The sequence below is a fragment of the Homo sapiens genome, chromosome 7, assembly GCF_000001405.40.
Source record: "Homo sapiens chromosome 7, GRCh38.p14 Primary Assembly".
Classification (NCBI taxonomy): Eukaryota; Metazoa; Chordata; class Mammalia; order Primates; family Hominidae; genus Homo; species Homo sapiens.
Window position 1 is genome coordinate 2,900,627 of NC_000007.14, and position 19,943 is coordinate 2,920,569.

Below are 19,943 nucleotides of genomic sequence, written 5' to 3' on the forward strand. Positions count from 1 at the left end.
GCAACCTCCGCCTCCTAGGTTCAAGCCATTCTCCTGCCTCAGCCTCCTGAGTAGCTAGGATTACAGGCACATGCCATCACACCGAGCTAATTTTTGTATTTTTAGTGGAGACAGGGTTTCACCATATTGGCCAGGTTGGTTTCAAACTCCTGACCTCAGGTGGTCTGCTTGCCTCAGCCTCCCAAAGTAAGTGCTGGGATTACACGCATGAGCCACCATGCACAGCCTGTTTTTTTTTTTTTTGTTTGTTTGTTTGTTTGAGATGGAGTCTCACTCTGTCGCCCAGGCTGGAGTGCAGTGGCGCAATCTCGACGCACTGCAAGCTCCGCCTCCTGGGTTCACGCCATTCTCCTGCCTCAGCCTCCAGAGTAGCTGGGACTACAGGCGCCCGCCACCACGCCCAGCTAATTTTTTGTATTTTTAGTAGAGATGGGGTTTCACCGTGTTGGCCAGGATGGTCTCGATCTCCTGACCTTGTGATCCACCCACCTCGGCCTCCCAAAGTGCTGGGATTACAGGCATGAGCCACCGTGTCCGGCCCTGTTTCTTATTTTTAGTAAAGATGGGGTCTTGTTATGTTACCCAGGCTGGTCTCGAATGCCTGGGCTCAAGCCATCTCCCATCTTGGCTTCCCAAAGTGTTGGGCTTACAGGCATAAGCCACCATGCCCAGCCTCATTCCTTTTCATGGCTGAGCAATATTCCATTGTGTGGATGGACTATATTTTGCGTATCCATTCACCACTTGATGGACACTTGGCTGGCTTCCACCTTCTGGCTGTTGTGAACAGTGCCGCTGTGAATGTGTGTGTACAGTTGCCTGTACAGATGGAGAGGAGAGGAGAGGGGAGAGACAGTGCCCGTGTTACCTGGGTTTCTGGCTGAGTGACTGAGTTAAGGGTGGGCTGGGGAGGAGAGGGGCAGGTTTGGGAGTAACAAGGTGAGTGGGTTTTAGGCCTGTGTGGACTGGATTAGTGTCCCTCACAGGATGGGGGGGTGGGGATCAGTCTGTATCTTGTAGAGGTGGTGGGGTCCCAGCACCAAGCGTCTCCCCAGACTCTCCCGGGGAAGAACCACCGTGGTTCACAAACCACATGCACTACTCTGCAGTAAAGAACAGCGGCCCTGGGACCAGGTTCCCAGAGCTTAGGGTGTAACCGAGACAGGTGAGTCCACCATCCACACTGACCCCTGCCCCTATGGTTGGACAGGCCGAAATGGAAACGTCCCAGGCCAGCGCCGCCAGCCTGCTGTGGCCATCACGAAGCCCCGTCTGTGTGCGTGCACCCTCCGGGGAGGGCCGTGGGGCTCCCTCCAAGGAAATCAGTGCATGGCCCCTCTTGGGGGACTATCTTGCAGAGAAGAACTGTTCAAAATGATGCTCAACAGTGATTCCCTGGAAATGACGGCTGTCTACCAACAAGGACTGGTGACGGAAGGACAGGCCAGCACCGGCAGAGCACCACATGGCTGTCAAAAGGAATGCGAGAGGCCGTGCGGTGGCTCACTCCTGGAATCCCAGCACTTTGGGAGTCCGAGATGGGACCATCTCTTGAGGTCAGGAGTTCCAGGCCAGCCTGGGCAATGTAGTGAGACCTCGTCTCTACAAAGAATGTTTAAAAATTAGCTGAGCATGGTGATGCATGCCTGTAGTCCCAGCTACTAGGGAGGATGAGGCTGGAGGATTGAGCCCAGAAGGTTGAGGCTGTAAGTGGGCCATATTCATACCACTGCACTCCAGCCTGGATGCTAGCTTAAGAGATATGCCTACCTTGGCCTTCCAAACTGCTGGGATTCCAGGTGTGAACCCCCACACCCAGCCTGTGATGGCTTTTGAGAACAGCATGGTGGCATGATGCCAGGGCTCAAAGACATCTCACTCCTGCATTCACCCCCTCCCCAAAGCAGCCCCCTTCCTGGGTTGGGTGAGAAAACCAGCGTTTCTCAGAATTGTGACCTGGTTAGGTAGAAGCCCAGGGCCAGCGGGCCGACACTACCAGCGGGTGAGCAGACCGACTCTTCCAAGAGAGGAAATCCTGTAATCCCAGCACAGTAGCTGGGACTACAGGCATGAATCACCATGCTCAGCTAATTTTTAAATATTCTTTGTAGAAACAAGGTCTCACTACGTTGCCCAGGCTGGTCTGGAACTCCTGACCTCAAGTGATCCCAGCACTTTGGGAGGCCGAGGCAGGCAGATCAACTGAGGTCAGGAGTTCGATACCAGCCTGGCCAACATGGTGAAACCCTGTCTCTATTAAAAATACAAAAATTAGCCGGGAGTGGTGGTGGTGCACACCAGTAGTCCCAGCTACTCAGGAGGCTGAGGCACAAGAATCATTTGAACCTGGGAGGTGGAGGTTGCAGTGAGCCAAGATCGTGCCACTGCACTCCAGCCTGGGTGACAGAGTGAGACTCTGTCTCAAAAAAAGAAAAAAAAAAAACAAAAACGAAAACCAAAAACAAAACAAAAGCAAAAACAAATGCAACCAAACAAAAAACCACAAACAAGAGAGGAAATTCACATCCTCTCAGTGTGGTCATTATGTCACCCAGCCACCCAGCCCCCAGCCAGCCACTGCCTGGGACACCAACCACTTCCTTGGTCCCTAGAAGAGCAGAGGGGACACACGACCAAAGGCCCTGGGACCCCAAACAGCACCTCAGAAATGGAAAATCCAGCCCCGAGCTTACAGTTGCAAATCAGCAGACCTGGGTGAAGTTCCAGCTTACCAGCTGTGTGACCTTGGTCAAGTCACTTAACCTCTCTGAGCCTCAATTTTCACCTGTATAACATGGAGAAGAGTTTGGGGATAAGTAAAATAACATTTACAAGGTGCTCAGCACAGAGGAGGAGCTCAAAAAACATTTGCTCATATTTGCCAAATCCCAGAGCAATAGTTCTTTATCTTTTTGGGATTGCAACACCCTTTGGGAATCTGAGAAAGGCTGGACTTTCTCCCCAGAAAAGTGTGTGTCTACACATACGACACAATTTCCAGTGCTCGCCTCTCACAGTGGCTCTGGGCTGCGTGGCTGGTGCCCATGGTGTGAACCAAGCATCGTTGTGGCATTGTCGGCTTGGCACAGGCATCCAGAGCCTCGGGCTCCAGGCTTTGCTGTACGGGGAGCTTCCCTGAGCCCTGGGCTGGCTCTGCAGTCAAAACTCAGCTTGCAGGCCCTTGTGCAATACTTGGACTTGCAGGCAGACGGTGCAAAGAGCTCCGTGCCTCCCTCCCCGGCCTCCCAGACCCCACTCGGCTCACCAGGCAGACACAGGGGTTGCTGGCAGCTGAACAGGCAGGACCTGGGGGCTGAAGCCGATGATGCTGGAGGTCTCCTTGGAAATCCTCATGTGGACCCGTCCCCGGGGTGCCAACCCCACTCCCCTGCTGCCTTCACCATTTCATCAGAGAAGGGAAGGGAAGAGGGAACCTCATTCCAGCCCTCGGCCCCTGCCTCCTCTCACCCGCTTATTAGCAATTATCCACCCCACAGCCCTGCACTCTCGATCCTGGTTAAAATCACTCGGGCAAGGCAAGGGGGAAAAGAAACCCCACCACAGATTCTTTTCAGATATCTTTCCCTACGCACAGCTTATCTCCACCCCACTTGTCCTCCCAAATGACATGCAAGCCACCTGTTTGCTTATTCTGCTCAGCCACCCGAGAGTTCTGAAGTCAAACAAATGATATAAATCACTCAGCTGGCTTTTTGTCCGAGACTCCTTCCCGGTCACGTCTGTCCACTCAGCACGGAGCGCTTTACGAGGAAGCACAGCTTCCAGGCCGAAACACGAAGCCCTCGGCTTGGGGGAGGTTTACATTTTAACTTAAGGCTTTCACAAGATGGAAGCTGCAGGCCTTCCGGCCCTAGCATGGCCTCGTGTGGTGGTTTATTTGGCCCTAAATAACGGCAGCTGCACCTAGGAGTCACGGCCTCTCTACACCCAGCACGTCTAGCTTGTTTCTGGGGGCTGTCTTGGAAAAAGCAGCATTGCTCATGGGCTCTTGGAGGGAGACACTGTTTTTCAAGGTGTCACACTCCCTGGCAGACCCGGAGCTGGTGGTGCAGAGATGGATTGTGAGGGAGGAGGCAAGAACAAGGCATCCTCCTAGGACCCCCATGCATTCACTCCCACCTCCTGGAGATTTCTGCTGCTAATTTGTCTTCTGTAGGTCAAAATGCCAGAAAATGCTACAGGCCACACAGTATTTTCTTTTTTTGGAAGAGATCTTTATTAATAGAGTGCTTTTATTAATAATTCATACCTTGTCTAAGCGGTAAAAACCCAGCAGAGGATTAACCCATGCCCATGGTATTTGAAACTATAAAGAATAAAGTTTTCTCCTGTATTTGTTAGGAATTGCTCTTGGCTGCAAGTAACAGAGAACTGAAATAACAGTCATTTAACACAAGACACAAATTTCTTTCTGTCTCATGTAAAAGAAACCCAAGCAGCAGTCCTGGGCCCCCAAGTATCATCAGTGACTGTGGCTCCTTCTTTCTTTCTGATCTGCCATCCTCCAAGTGGGGTTTCCACCCTCACAGTCACCTCAAGATGCAAGAACACTGCTGGTGCTCCAGCCATTGCGTCTGCATCCGCAGCAGAAAACTGGAGGAAGCGCCATTTGTCTCTCCCCCAAACTTCCCCTTACATTTCCCTAATTGCAAGGGAGGCTGGGATATATGGTCTTTGAGCTGTGCATGTAGATTCCCAGGATGAGTCAGGATTCTCTTAGGAAGGAAGGGGAATCTGGGTATTAGGTTGTTAGTGAGCAGTTGCTCCCACAGTTCCCACATTCAGACAGACCCGGGTTTGAATCCGAGCCTGCCACCCAGTAGCTTCCTGCACATGCAGTGTGGTGCCCCGTGAGGGTGCAACCTGGCCTGGTTTGGCTGTGCCTGTCAGGTCCACACTCGGCAAATTTGCGTCAAGGGGGTGAAGGAGAAGAATGGTTCTAGAACTCCTAGGACTTTTGCTACCTGCTGGGGAGCGGGCGTGGCTTTCCTGCACCCCTCAAGCTCCTGGGAAGTGGGGTATGAACCCCCCAGAGGGCTGTACCTCACGTGCTTGCTCCTGACCTGCAGGAGGAAGCGGGGCTGCCCTTTAGGGACATTGAATGTGGGGCAGGGGCAGTTATGTGCAGAGAAGAGCTGAGTGACGGGGGCCTGGCCTCAGGGCTGGAGTTACGGGGCAGGCCAGACACAGACTGCAAGGGCTCCCCAGGGTCAGTGAGAGGATGGGCCCTTCTCAGGGTGACAAGATAATTTATTGATCTTCCAAATCAGGATGCATTTGAGTCCATAGGGTGCGATTAGCAAGTATTACCCTAAGCCCAGGGGTAAATCAGGCCTGTCCTGGGACCCTGGGGTGTGTGGTCACCCCACCTTCACCCTACCCAGGAACATGGGGCCTGAGTCTCCAGCTAAGCTCACTGGGCATGGTTTTCAGGTTAGGAAGGCGGCAAGGGCTCAAGGCCTGGCAAGCTGTTCACAAACAAAGGGTCGAAACAAAGAAATAATAATACATTTTAATGCAAGAGAAATCATAGCCTGGTACACACCCCTTCCCCGATCTGTCCTGCCTGGGGATGTGTTTATGGTGAGTGTGTCCCCAGGACTGGTAGTCACCTGGCTGTCCGGGTCCCCGCCCTACTGGCGGCAGCATGCCTGTCCCCAGCATTACATTCAACTGCTGCTCTGGCTCTCGAGAGGCCGGCTGGCCTCGGGCCTCCGGCTTGGCGTTCTTTGCTCCCCTGTCTCCCTGCTAAGGCCAGCAGGGCCAAACTGCTAGGCCAGGTCAGCCAGGGCTGGGGGAATGGGCTGTACCCTGCTCCTCCCCAGGCACGACTGTCCCCCCGGGGCTCCATCACCGGGTGGGGCGGAGCGTCTGCTGGGGCAGCTCTGTGGGCCACAGGATCCCCCCGCACCCACTGCATCTCTCTGCCCAGGGTGCCTGCCTCATAGGATGCCCCGCGCCACAGAGTCTCTCTGCCCAGGGCGCCCGCCTCACAGCTGGTCCTCGTCCACCCAGATGGTCTTGCGCTGCTCCTCGCCGATCTTGTCCTTGACAACGCGGAGCAGCTCCTCTACGCTGCCCCACATGTCAGGTTCCACCGTGGCGTACAGGCACGGCAGGGCCTCCAGCTCCTTCTCCTTCAGCCGGCACACGCGCAGGAACTCCTCCTCCGTCTCAGGTCGGGGCAGCAGCTTTCTGGGAGGAGACACGCAGGGGCTGTGGGGAGGCTGCAAGGCCGTGGCGCTGGTGTGGCACCACCTGTCCGGCCACCCCTGACTGCCGTGGTCCCCACCCCTTCCCTGCCTTGCTTCTCCCTATAGCGTCCGTGCCTCTTAACGCTAGGGACCGTGCCCCTTCATGCTGTTCATCGGAAATTCCAAATACATCCTTATTGATTGATTGATTGATTGAGATGGAGTCTTGCTCTGTTGCCCAGGCTTGAGTGCAGTGGCACTTTCTTGGCTCACTGCAACCTCCACCTCCCGGGTTCAAGTGATTCTCCTGCCTCAGCCTCCTGAGTAGCTGGGACTACAGGCATATGCTATCATGCCTGGCTAATTTTTATATTTTTAGTAGAGATGGGGTTTCACCCTGTTGGCCAGGCTGGTCTTGAACTCTCGACCTCAAATGACCTGCCTGCCTTGGCCTCCCAAGGTGCTGGGATTATGGGCGTGAGCCACCGCTCCCGGCCACATCCTTTTTATTTTTAATTGTGCTAAGGTACGCATAAAATAAAATCAACCATGTTACCTATTCTTTAAGTGAGTAATTCAGTAGCATGAGGTATATTCACACCGCTGTGCAACCAATCTCCAGAACTTTCTCAACTTCCCAAACTGCAACTCTGGGCCCATTAAATACTCACTCCCCATCTTCCCTCCGGCAGCCCCTGAGAACCACCCTTCTACTTGCTGTCTCTAGGAATCTGACTGCTCTAGAGACCTCACAGAAGCGGAATCACATACAGCATGTGTGTTTTTGTAACTGGCTTATTTAACTGAGAATGACACCCTCAAGGTTCATCCATGTTGGAGTGGGTGTGAGAATCTCCTTCCTTTTCAAGGCTGAATAATACTCCACTCTATGGGCCGGGTGCGGTGGCTCAGGCCTGTAATCCCAGCACTCTGGGAGGCCGAGGCAGGAGGATCACTTGAAGTCAGGAGTTCGAGACCAGCTGGCCAACATGGTGAAACCCAATCTCTAGTAAAAATACACAAATTAGCCAGGCATGGTGGTGGGCACCTGTAATCCCAGCTACTCGGGAGGCTGAGGTAGGAGAATCTCTTGAACCTGGGAGGTGGAGGCTGCAGTGAGCCGAGATCGTGCCACTGCACTTCAGCCTGGGTGACAGAGTGAGACTCCGTCTCAAAAAAAAAAAAATACTCCATACAGTATTTTTGTTGTGATACACACTGCACCATAAACACATTCCCAGGCAGGACAGATCAGGGAAGGGGGTATGTACCATGCTAGTATTTCTCATGCATTAAATGTATTATTGTTTCTTTGTTTCAACTCTTTTTTTGTTAACAGTTTGCAAGGTTTTCAGCTCTTGCCACCTTCCTAGCCTGTATGGATGGGCCCTATTGTGTGTATTCACTCCCCACAGACCGACCCTTAGGTGACGTCTACGTTTTGGCTATTGGGAGTAACGCTGCTGTGAACACGGGCGTGTATATGTCTCTTACAGACCCTGCTCTCAATTCTCTTGGGGATATGCCCGCAGGTGGGGTTGCTGGATTATATAGTATTCTATTTTTAATTTTTGGGGGCATCGCCATGCTGTCCTCCACAGTGGCCGCTCTCTTTTGCATTTCCAGCAGCTGTGCACCGGGTTCCGACGTCTACCCTCCTCGTCAACACTTGTCAGTTTCTGTCCTTTTGGTCCTGGCCAGCCTAACGGGTGTGAGGTATCGAGGGGGATGCCCGTCTCTTTTGCTCACTGCTGCGTTCCCCAGAGCCTAACCCTTCACAATGGCTCAGTGAGTATCTGGTGAAAAGGAATGAATGGGCCTAAACTCTCAGTCTGTGATTCCCTCTGCAAAATGGTGGCAGGACATTTATTTTGCAGGTGCGTGCGAGGAGGGGCGGGGATCCGAGATGAAGCCACTTAAGGGCCAGTCTGTCCTCATCACCCAGGCCCCAAACCTCAGCGCCGTCCTTTCGTTTTTTTTTTTTTGTTTTTTTTTTTCTGAGATGGAGTCTCACTCTGTCGCCCAGGCTGGAGTGCAGTGGCTCGATCTCAGCTCACTGCAACCTGCCCCTCCCACGTTCAAGCGATTCTCCTGCTTCTGCCTCCTGAGTAGCTGGGACTACAGGTGCCCGCCACCACGCCCAGCTAATTTTTTTTGTATTTTTAGTAGAGATGGGGTTTCACCATGTTGGCCAAGCTGGTCTCAAACTACCAACTTCAGCTGATGTGCCCACCTTGGCCTCCCAAAGTGTGGGGATTATAGGCGTGAGCCACCGCGCCCAGCCTCTGGTTCTCTGGAACCCCAGAGTGAACCCTTTCCCGAATCCTGCAGGCTCGACCCTGAACACGGATTCGGAGTCAGACTGCCTCTCATCGCCTCTCAGACAGAAGCCCGGCCCACACCGCCACCCTGCCCGTGTCCAGAGGTGAGAGGTGCGTTTATACCCTAAAGTGGACCATGCCACCTTCAGTGGCCTCCAGATGCACCCAGAACAAGATGTCGCAGCCTCCCGTGGCCCTGCATGGCCTGGACCCGCTGCCCCTCACCCCTCAGCCTCTCACTCTCCGTCCCTCACCCTCCGCCCCTCACTCCTCAGCCTCTCACCCCTCTGTCCCTCACCCTCTGCCCCTCACTCCCCAGCCTCTCACCCCTCCGCCCCTCACCCCTGCGCCCCTCACCCCTCCACCCCTCACCCTCTGCCTCTCACCCCTGCGCCCCTCACCCCTCAGCCTCTCACTCTCCGTCCCTCACCCTCCGCCCCTCACTCCTCAGCCTCTCACCCCTCTGTCCCTCACCACTCCGCCCCTCACCCCTCCGTCCCTCACCATTCCGCCCAAACATCTGTCTCAGGGTCTGAGCACCAGCTGTTCCCCTGCTGCCCAGATTGCGTCTTCTTTCTCATCTCCTAGGCCCCCCTCACTGCCATGGGTCTCGCTGATGGATACCCCAGGCCTTCCCGGACCACCCTGGGTGATGGGCACTCCGCCCCGTCCCTCCCAGCTCTTGTCCCCTGGGATGCGCCCCATATGTGAGTCACCATCTCGGCCGCTGTCCTTGGCATCAGCTCTGCAAGGTCAGTCCCGTACTTGGTGAGGGTTTACAAAAGGGGTGCATGAGGTGGGGGCACACAGGCCTCCTGCGATCCATGGAGGCTTGGTGGGGTGCTAGGGACAGGAGGGGACAGCCCTTAGGGGTCTGGGAGCCCTACCTGAACCTCTTGATGTTCTTCTCACACACCCGGATGAAGAGCACGATGGGGTAGATGTTGGACTTGATCAAGTCTCTTGTGCAGCCGATCCCAGCCTCCAGCAGGCAGTGCTTGTTCTGCGGGCACAGCGGCTTTGGTCAGCAGCAGCCCACCCACCTCCCGCTCCTGTGAAGGTGCCTGCAGCGGGGCCTGGATGCAGGGTTGGGGTCTATAGCGGGGCGGGAGCCCTGAAAGCCACCTGCCGCTGATCCAGGAGATGAGACCCCCACATGAGTCTGGACACTCCAGGACTCTGCTGACCACAGTGATGTTCATGGGCAGAGATGAGGCCCCGGACGGGGTGAACCAGGTGGCGTGAATGAGTTTGAATGAAACACCTGCTACCAGCCGGGCGTGGTGGCTCACGCCTGTAATCCCAGCACTTTGGGAGGCCCAGGCGGGCCGATCACTTGGGGTCAGGAGTTCGAGACCAGCCTGGCCAACACGGCAAAACCCTGTCTCTACTAAAAGTATAAAAATTAGCTGGGTGCGGTGGCCCACGCCTGTAATCCCAGCTACTCGGGAGGCTGAGGCAGGAGAATCACTTGAACCCGGGAGGTGGAGGTTGCGGTGAGCCGAGATGGTGCCACTGCATTCCAGCCTGGGTGACAGAGTGAGACACTGTCTCAAACACACACACACACACATACACACACACGCACACACACACACACCCCAAAACACCTGCTACCCTAGCCAGCCTTCAAGTAAGAGGGTAGGGAACACATGAAGGGTGAGGCGGCGAGGCTGGCAGGTCCCAGGAGTATCTGCAAGGTTCTCAACCATGAGCTCATCATTTTGAGAAAGGGCAATTTCTGCTTTGCTGAAGGCATCACTTAAAAAAAAATTCCACCAAATGTTGGCATGGTGGCTCATGCCAGCAATCCCAGCACTTTGGGAGGTGGGAGGATTGCTTGACGCTAGGAGTTCGAGACCAGCCTGGGCAATATAACAAGACCCTATCTCTAAAAAAATTAGAAAATCATTAGCTGGGCATGGTGGTGAGTAACTGTAGTCCCAGCTACTCGGGAGGCAGAGGCGGGAGAGTTGCTTCAGCCTAGAAGTCGCGGCTGCAGTAAGCCGGGATCATGCCCTGCACTCCAGGCTGGGCAACAGAGCGAGCCCCAGTCTCTAAATAAATAAAACATCAAACTTTGCATTGGAATAGAACATAAACACAGCATTCTAAGCATGCAGCTCAGTGAATTTCACAAACTGAACGCAGTCTAGCACTCGTGTCTGGAGGTGGGAATGACCCCCCTCGCCCAGGGTCTCCTTGGGCCTCCTGCGGGGCCACTGCTCCCCATTCCCCACCAATAGGACCATGGCCCACATTTCTACAGCACAGATCTGCTGGAAGGCTTCTTCTTTTCAGCTAAAAACAATCTCAGCTCCAACCCTGTCTGCTCACTTTCTATCCACGCCAGCTATCAGAATTTCCTAAACTGCTGTGGCCCAGACTTAAAAAAAACAAAAACACCACCATCTGCTCTTGCCATCCCCAAGGTCAGCGTCCACCACGGAGCCAGCCCCCGGCAGCTGGGGGAGCCCTCCAGTGACGCGGACAGAGAGCCTTTTCTTCATCCAGTGCTGGGACGAGGAAGAGCTCAACGCTTAGGTCACATTGTCTGGCTCCAAAGACTCCACATTGCACACAGACAACCTTTTTGCATCGTTGCCAATAACCCTTGTGATGCCCCGTTTTCCCCTCGTTTGGTGAATGCAATACCTGTCACCTTCATGTTCATCCTGTCTCTCGCCCTGATGAGCTCGTTCTCTATCTCTGGCCCTTGTTATCACAACCAGACACACACACTCCTAAATAATGCGAACACACACCAGCTCCAGGAAGCCAACACAAATAGAAAGCTCCAAAATAAAAACTCACTTCAGAGCCCAGGGAACAAGGGTGCAGAGAGGGAGTTAACACGGGGCAGCTGCTGGGACAAGGGGAAAAGGAGAGGTCTGGCCACGGGGAGGTGAAAACAACTCTTCATCCCACCCTTGTCCCTGGCCCAGGTGGCCTCATGAGGATCATCACGGAGGGTCCTGGCCCCATCCAACCTCCCAGTCCCCGCCTCACCTTGGCGGCCACAGCTTCAATGTTGGCAGGGGCGATGCATTCGAACGCGTTGGGGTTCTTCTCTCGGGAGTAGATGATGGTCTCCGTCTTCTGCCTTCTGAGGAACTCATCTCTTGTGACGATATCTGCAGAGAGAGGGGCCAGTCCTGAGGGCAGCACGAGGTGGCCTTGGGTTGACCATCCCACTCAGGCCCTGCCTGCCACCTTCTGGGCTCTACAGAACTCGATGTCCGATCCCCTTCCAGCCATGTTTAAATGAATCTCGTCTCCCCTCGACTAGACTGTGAAGCTCCTTGAGGGCAGGGCTAAGGTTAACCTTCTCCATACTCCCCATGGCAGCCCATAGAGCAGGTGCTTGGCACCTCAGCAATACCTTTCACTGGACAAAGCAGCTCAGGCACCGTGGTGCAAGGCTGATCACCAGTCTAAATAAATCTCCTGTTCCACCCACCCACCCACCTACCCATCCATCCACCCACCCATCTACCGACCCCTCACCCACCCACCCATCTGTCCACCTACCTATCCACCCATCCACCCATCCCCTTATCCATCCATCCATCCATCCATCCATCCATCCATCCATCCACTCATCCATCCATCCACCCACCTATCCATCCATCCATCCATCCATCCATCCATCCATCCATCCATCCACCAATCCATCCACCCACTCACCCATCCACCCACCCATCCTTCCATCCATCCATCCACCCACCCATTTATCTATCAATCTGTCCACCCACCCAGTCACCCATCATCCATTCAGCCATCCTTCCATCCATCCATCCACCTATCCAGGGGGAGGAGGGGTGATGGGGAGGAGGAGGAGGGAAGAAGAGGGAGGAGGGAGGGGAGGATGAGGAAGAAGAAAAGGAGGGGAGGAAAGGGGAGGAGGGAAGTGAGGAGGGGGAGGGGAGGAGTGAGAAGTTGGAGGAGGGAGAAGAGAAGAGGGAGAAGGGAGGAGGAAGGAAAGGAAAGAGGGAAGAGGAGGAAAGAGGGAAGAGAAGAGGGGAGGAGGGAAGAGAAGAGGGGAGGAGGGAAGAGAAGAGGGGAAGTCGTCCTGGTTCATGGCTCCCGCGGGGCTCCCCAGGTGGCCGTGGCTCGCCGCTCACCTGACTTGCAGATGGTGAACTCCATGGCACCTCCCGAGTTGAGCAGCCTCTGCACCAGCGTCTTGGCCAGCACGGTGGGTGTGAAGAGCACGGGCCGGCGGCGCTCGCAGTAGAAGGCGCGTACCAGGCTGTAGGGGATGAGGCTGAGGTTCTTGCCCAGCTCGCTCTCAGGGTCCAGCTCTGGCAGGGGCAGGAGAGGGTGGCGGTCAGACCCCTGGGGCTCCGAAGACCTTCCACGGAGGACGGGGCCCCTGGGCTGGGTCCTGGAAGCCACCGTCAGTGTGAAGGCCTGGCTGCTGCCCCGGGCATCCAGTGTCTGAGGTCACCTCGGGCTGGCACTGCTTGGGGCTTGTGTGCCAGGGAGGGGAGGTGTGGTGGGGGGCAGGCAGAGTGTGTGACAAATGCAGGAACCTTGGCTGAGCTCTGGAGGGAAAGTTTGCCTTGTCAGACGATCAAGGAGGGCTTCTTGGAGGAAGGGTAGGGACTGGGTACAGCCCAGCGGAGGGGAGGGCGAGGGCAAGGAAAGCAAGTGCCGGCAGGCACCCACGAGACACCAGGACCAGCGGCCAAGGCCTTGGGTGTCTCCCAGGAGCACTGGGAGGGACGACTTGGCCTCAGTTCTGCTTTCTCAGTCCCTCTGTGGCTGGAGTGGCAGAGCCACACAGAAGCCCGGGGTTCTGATGAAGCCACCCCCAGGCAGCCCGAGGAAACAGCTCCCAGAAACGGGCAGCCTGTCCCTTGTCCCTTGTGCCTTTTCTTGTACCCTGGCCTGGCCACTCCAACGTCCAAAGGGCCAGCCCGGGAAGCCGCCCCAAGGCCTCCTTTGAGATCCAGCCAGGGCTGTGTGGCTTCCCTTTCCCTGAGCAGGGCCAGCCAGGGCCAGCGGGGTGGGGGACGGTGGACCGGGAGGCCCCTCGCCGGGTTGATAAATGGCAAGTGGCACTCAGTGGGTAGAGAAATCAATAAAACGAACACTTCACAGCAAACAGCCCCAATTAACACGGGTACCCGGGAGCGAAGCAACCACACGAGAGCGTCGTTATTGGGTGAGCTTGGCGGGATGTCACCCCGAGGCAGCATGGTCCTCACAGCCAAGGCCAGGCTCCCTCACCGTTTTAATTTCTTTTTGTCTTTTATTTTTATTTTTAGAGCTAGGAGTCTTGCTGTATGGCCCAGGCCAGAGTGACTGCAGTGATGTTATCTTGGTTCACTGCAGCCTCAAACTCCTGCTCAAGTGATCCTCCCACCTCAGCCTCCCAAGTGGCTGGGACCATAGGCACGTGACACCATGCCTAGCTATTTACATATTTTAAGATTTATTTTTAATGCTTTATGTTTTTATTTTAATGTTTTTATATATTTTATAGTTATATATATATATATTTATTTATTTATTTTATTTTATTTTTTTTTCTGAGACGGAGTCTCGCTCTGTCACCCAGGCTGGAGTGCAGTGGCGGGATCTCGGCTCACTGCAAGCTCCACCTCCCAGGTTCACGCCATTCTTCCGCCTCAGCCTCCAGTGTAGCTGGGACTACAGGCGCCCGCCACCGCGCCCGGCTAACTTTTTGTATTTTTAGTAGAGACGGGGTTTCACCATTCACAGGATGGTCTCGATCTCCTGACCTTGTGATCTGCCCGCCTCGGCCTCCCAAAGTGCTGGGATTACAGGCGTGAGCCACTGCGCCCGGCCATAGTTATATTTTTTTGTAGAGATGGGGGTCTTACTATGTTGCCCAGGCTGGTCTTGAACTCCTGGCCTCAAGCGATCCTCCAGCCTTGGCCTCCCAAAACACTGGGATTGCAGGCGTGAGCCACCTGTGTCCACCCTCCTCTCCCTTTGGAGGACTTCCAGGCCCCCTCACAAGGACCGATGTTCCTCCAGGTGAGGGTGAGGCATGTGTGACTGTGGCTGGGAGTGGTGGGAGGGGCCAGGCGGTCCCCATGTACCTTCCTGCTTCTCAGTCAAGAGCTTGGTGGCGTCCAGCGAGGACCGGGCCAGGCTCCCTAGCGGACTCCCCGAGATGATGCGGACCCGCTCGTTGCTGTTCATCCGCTTATACTTGTTCTCGGACCTGCTGACGAACTGGAGGAGAAGAGGGAGGGTCGGGGGAGGACTGTTTTGCTTCCACTTCTAAACAGACAGGGTGCTGCCCTCAACCCGGCAAAGCCAGACCTTGTTCAAATCCCTGCTCTGCCCCTGGGGGTTCCTGGGCCAGTCATTTCCCCTATAAAAGCAGGAGACTCCCAGCAGGTGGCTCGAGCCCTTTAGCCACTGGAGAGATGTTCTCAGTAGGTAAATGAGTGAATCGGTGCCCACGCTGTCTTCCGCAGCCGGATGAGTCTCGGGTCAAGCTCATGTGCATCCCCGTGGGAACCTCAGGTGCAGCTCTGCAGGCACTGTGGGACCTGAGCCGCCCCAGCCATGAAGACCCCTGGCTGGAAACCCCTGTGGGCAGGGACTGTCCCCCTGCTGGGCATGTGCTGGACAATGCCACCTCCCTCTGACACTGTGCTCACCATGCCTTTCTGCTTCGGTATCCCTAAGTTTAATGGGGGCACCCACTTTTTTCTACAATTCACAGAGTTGAGTCCTGGAGGGCAGAAACGGATGCCCTGGCAATGGGCCCAGAAGCAGGTTCACACCATATTCTATGGGCTACTTTGAGTCTCTCCACACTCTTCCTTCTGCAGGAAGGAAAACGCATGGCATCTGGGGTGTCAGCCGGCTCTCTGTTAACTGGCTACAGGGCTCTGGATGAGACTCCCAAGGTTTCACTTTTTTTTTTTTTTGAGATGGAGTGTTGCACTCTCACCCAGGCTGGAGTGCAGTGGTGCGATCTTGGCTCACTGCAACCTCTGCCTCCCGGGTTCAAGTGATTCTCCTGTTTCAGCCTCCTGAGTAGCTGGGATGACAGGTATCTGTCACTGCACCTAGCTACTTTTTGTATTTTTAGTAGAGACGGGGTTTCACCACGTTGGCCAGGCTGGTCTCGAACTCCTGACCTCAAGTTATCCACCCGCCTCAGTCTCCCAAAGTGTTGGGATTACAGGCGTGAGCCACTGTGCCTGGCCCCAAGGTTCCACTCTTGCATGTCATGCGGGTGTAAAAATGCGTCATCTCAAATGGTTCTGCCTTTGTGAACCCCTCAGACTTTGCCAGGTTTCCTTTCCACCTGGGTGTCTCTCCGCCACTTGTTTGTGTCTACCTGGATTTTAGGGTCACACTGCTCACAATTTCCCTGGGTTTCCCTGTTCCAAGGTTGAGATGGAGCAGCGGAACATAACACTGTCTCCGTTGGGGTCTAATGAGTGAGGCAGCCACACAGGAACACGCTCATGGGGTCACATTTTCATATTACCCCCTTGGCTTTTGTCCACGGGCGATACAAGAAACGATCCCAAAGAGTGTTTCTGCATTTACGAGAAACCATTTCTGAAGATACCACACACGATGCTAGTCAATGTTCTTTGTATAATGATCCACGCCAGAAAAAAAAAAATCCCTTTTAGAATTAAGTAGAAGGGAAAAGTCCTTTCTGGTCTTGATTGCTAAAATGTTTCCCAAGACAGATAAGATTGAAAGACTCTGCTGGGTTCCCTTTTTTCCTTGGCTGCCGGGATGCTCAGATAAGTTGAATGCTCAATTAATGAGGACCTGATCTGGCCTAGATATTTAGGATGTTTGTTTTCATCTCCTGATACACTGCTTCTGATCTTTCTATTAGTATCTGAACAGCTAACTTCAGTTTCTTTTCACCATAAGGTTCCTCAATCTTTTATGAAAGTGGGATTTGCTTCCCGCAGGCACAGAGATTGTCTACCCACCTGTCACTGAGAGGATAAAACGGGACAGGAGATGTGAGGCACTGTGAAGAGTTGCAAGTGGTGTACAAACACAAAGCATGGTTATTTTGATTCGGGTGTCTCTTCTCAGTGGGGAGAGGGCAGGGCCACAGCAGAATATGATTGAAAAATCGGTAGGTGCTCCGGAGAGCCTTACCTGAAGGAGCTGGCCAAAAAGGAAGCTTGCTCGCGAGAGACGGGGGCTGACCCGGGGGTCGCTTGTTGAAAGCGCTTCTTCTGGCTGCAGGGTGTTCTGAAATGAATTTATCAATCAGTCAGGCCCTGCTGGGCTTGGCAGGAGGGGAGAACACAATGATGCTGGTGAGAACTGGAGACCTGTCCTCAAGCCCCTCCATGCTAACGCTTTCTTAGGGAAATCAAAAGGCTGCAGGCAAGGGGCGGGGGCAGGCAGGGGCAGGCGGGGTAGGGGAGAGGAGTCCTGGAGACTTGGGAGAGAGGTGATTTGCTTCAACAGAGACCAGGGATGGTAGAGCAAAGGCCTGCAGTCCAGCTGGAGCCAGAAACCTAGGCTCATCTTCTTTTTTTTTGAGACAGAGTCTCGCTCTGTCACCAGGCTGCAGTTCAGTGGCATGATCTCTGCTCACTGCAACTTCCACCTCCCAGGTTCAAGCGATTCTCCTGCCTCAGCCTCCCGAGAAGCTGGGACTACAGGCGCACCACCAAACCCAGCTAATTTTTGTATTTTTAGTAGAGATGGGGTTTCACCATGTTGGCCAGGATGGTCTCGATCTCTTGACCTCATGATCCTCCCGCCTCTGCCTCCCAAGGTGCTGGGATGACAGGCGTCAGCCACTGTGCCCAGCCTTGTTCTTGTTTTGAGACAGGGTCTTGCTCTGCCGCCCAGGCTGGAGTGCAGTGGCACGATCTTGGCTCACTGCAACCTCTGCCTCCCAGGTTCAAGTGATTCTTCTGTCTCAGCCTCCTGAGTAGCTGAGATTATAGGCGCCCACCACCATGCCTGGCTAATTTTTGTGTTTTTAGTAGAGACAAGGTTTCACCATGTTGGCCAGGCTGGTCTTGAACTCCTGACCTCAAGTGATCTGCCCACCTTGGTCTCCCAAAGTGCTGGGATTACAGGCGTGAGCCACTGTGCCCGGCCAGACACCAACCCCTTGTCCTGGAAAGTCAGGACCTGTGGGAGGGCATGAGAGGATGGGGCTCCTTCTATAGGGAGCGTCTCATTCCTAAGGAACCAAGGAACCAAGTTCCCTAGAATTCATCATCCCAATACGGATGGATTGCATTTGTTACTGCCTCTAAAAAAGACCCGGGAGTTAGGTTTGAAGCTGGCGAGATCCCTGCCCCTGCTGCCCCCACAGGGTGCTTGGCAGACCTACCCGGAGTGCCCGCAGGGTGTGGTGGGTGCCGTCTACCTCCTCCCGGCTGCCTCGGTGCATCAGGCGCTGCAGTTTCACCAGGAGGAGCTGCTGGGCTCTGGGGAGCGAAGAGAGGAGCCTCAGAGGCTGAAATTCAGGGGCCAAGCACCGGGAAGCCAGCGGGGCCGCAGCACCGCACTGGCATGGGTGGGGCGCGTGTCCGACTCTGCGTAGGGATGGCCCTGTGGCTGGTGTGCGCTCTGAGCCCAGGGGGCGCCCGGGGAGAAGATGTGGCTCCTTGTATCTGTGTTTGGATCCCACCTCCAGCACTGGCTTGCTGTGAGGCTGCAGCAAAGTGGCCGAACCCCTCTGAGCCACGGTCTCCTCCTCTGTAAATCTGGTGTGATGATGCTTGCCTTCGAGGACTGGCCTGAGGTGTGGTGTTATGGTCTCATAGATGCTGTGGTATGGATGTGTAGTGTTACAGTCTTACAGATGCTTCCAGATGCCTGCTGTGTGCCCGACACACTACCTGTGCTCAGTCCTTGGGGGCTAGTGCTGTTATAATGACAACGTCGTTGTCGGGATGAGGTCTATGGAAAAGAAATGACTAGTGAACCCAGCAAGACAGCATAGAATTGAGTGGTCTGGTCACTACCAGATGGAAAAGGATTCTACAGGATTCTAGTGAAGGTTGAGAGAAACATCTCTGAGGAGGCAGGAAGGGCTTCCTGGAGGAGGAGGGCCTGGGGGACCTCACTGTGAAACAGGGAAAGCAGTGGCCTTCTTTGGCCTGGGCTTCTCTATAAGCCCCTCTGCTGATGTTCGTGGCATCCGCAGCCTCCTGCCTGGTCCTCCATAGACTCAGGGAAATGGAGGCCCCGCCCTGATTCTGGCCTCACCGGCTGTAGCTGGGTATGGTGCCCATATCCAGGTCATGGTCTGTGAAAGGGTCGACCCGCGCGCACAGCCACTCGTGCCTGTCCTGGTACATGGTGTCACGGACGTGCACAACATCGTCACACTTCAGGGACATGGTGCAGGCGTCCAGCTGGCTGGAGATGTTCAGGTTCAGCCGGATGTAGAACGAGTCCCCCGATGTGATCAGGCCGTCCTCCATGTCCTTCACCAGCTTCCGGTACCCTGCGGAGGGAAAGATGCTCCAGCTGTCTATCAGTATGGGGTCCCCCGACCATCAGAGCTGCTCCTACAGCAGCTTTCCTCACCACCAACGTGCCTGTGCAATATGCTGCTCTTAGAGCTCATAGCCAGGGGAAAGTTCTACCTCCCCAGTGAAGGTAGCCATGTTGTTTACCAGTTTCCCTTTTTGTCTTGGCTGCCAGGAAGCTCAAAGCTGAAATTTTTGCCAAGTTGCAGTGATCACCTTTACTAGCATTCCCGCTACACTCTTCATATTTCCCCACCATTATACAGCACTTGTTTGTTTTTTATTTTTTTCACTGATGCACAACTCGCATACAGTAAACTGCATAAATTCTTAAGTACTCAGTTCAATGAATTTCCACAAATGTATATGTGTGGGCAGCAACAACCAGAACCCTCTCTGTCAGTACCTTTCCTAAGGGGAACCACCTTCCTAACCGATGTTGCTATAAATAGGCTGAATCTCACTTCATGTAAGTGGAACCAAACAGTATATGTTCTCTTCACTTCCAGCTTCCACTTTTCAACATTACGCCTGTGAGATTTGTCTGTGATGCTGCAATGTAGCTGGAGGGCGCTCTTTTTCACTGGTGTATAGTACTCCATGGTATGTGGATGTATCCATTCTCCCATGTGCAATTTGCATTGTTTGCAGTTTTGGGCTATTGTGAACAACTCTGCTATGAGTTATTCACACACACTGCTGTCTGTGGATATACGTGCTCATTTCTCTTGGGTATATATACAGAAGTGGAATTACTTGGTCATAGAATATCTATCTATTCATCTATCTATTATCTTTCTACCTATTATCTGTCTATCTATGGATATGTGTGCCCATTTCTCTTGGGTACATACACAGAAGTGGAATTACTTGGTCATAGAATATCTATCTATCTATCTATCATCTATCTACTTATCCATCCATCATCCATC

The 19,943-nt window shown here is 54.2% G+C and overlaps 1 protein-coding gene across 2 annotated transcripts in view, besides 3 other annotated features; it reads right to left on the reverse strand.

Annotated features, from left to right (window-relative positions):
- Positions 108 to 357: a silencer, noted in NCBI's record as "fragment chr7:2940368-2940617 (GRCh37/hg19 assembly coordinates)". NCBI's record gives its function as "represses an EF-1alpha promoter that drives an FKBP-Casp9 reporter gene in an ReSE screen in K562 erythroleukemia cells {active_cell/tissue: K562}" and the evidence as "EXISTENCE:reporter gene assay evidence [ECO:0000049][PMID:32094911]".
- Positions 5,516 to 19,943, reverse strand: part of CARD11 (caspase recruitment domain family member 11) — a 137,726-nt gene continuing 123,298 nt past the window's right edge. For both annotated transcript variants that reach the window (NM_032415.7, NM_001324281.3), the window contains 8 exons: positions 18,746 to 18,986; positions 17,865 to 17,961; positions 16,664 to 16,759; positions 14,611 to 14,746; positions 12,661 to 12,840; positions 11,546 to 11,670; positions 9,424 to 9,539; positions 5,516 to 6,216 (listed from right to left, as the gene is read on the reverse strand). In NM_032415.7, the coding sequence (NP_115791.3) occupies positions 6,012 to 6,216; positions 9,424 to 9,539; positions 11,546 to 11,670; positions 12,661 to 12,840; positions 14,611 to 14,746; positions 16,664 to 16,759; positions 17,865 to 17,961; positions 18,746 to 18,986 (1,196 nt within the window). In that variant the 3' untranslated portion in view covers positions 5,516 to 6,011. The remainder of the gene's footprint in view (positions 6,217 to 9,423; positions 9,540 to 11,545; positions 11,671 to 12,660; positions 12,841 to 14,610; positions 14,747 to 16,663; positions 16,760 to 17,864; positions 17,962 to 18,745; positions 18,987 to 19,943) is intronic.
- Positions 12,358 to 12,858: an enhancer, noted in NCBI's record as "H3K4me1 hESC enhancer chr7:2952618-2953118 (GRCh37/hg19 assembly coordinates)". NCBI's record gives its function as "activates a minimal SCP1, AML or CMV promoter by ChIP-STARR-seq in primed H9 embryonic stem cells {active_cell/tissue: H9 hESC(primed)}" and the evidence as "EXISTENCE:reporter gene assay evidence [ECO:0000049][PMID:30033119]".
- Positions 12,859 to 13,359: an enhancer, noted in NCBI's record as "H3K4me1 hESC enhancer chr7:2953119-2953619 (GRCh37/hg19 assembly coordinates)". NCBI's record gives its function as "activates a minimal SCP1, AML or CMV promoter by ChIP-STARR-seq in primed H9 embryonic stem cells {active_cell/tissue: H9 hESC(primed)}" and the evidence as "EXISTENCE:reporter gene assay evidence [ECO:0000049][PMID:30033119]".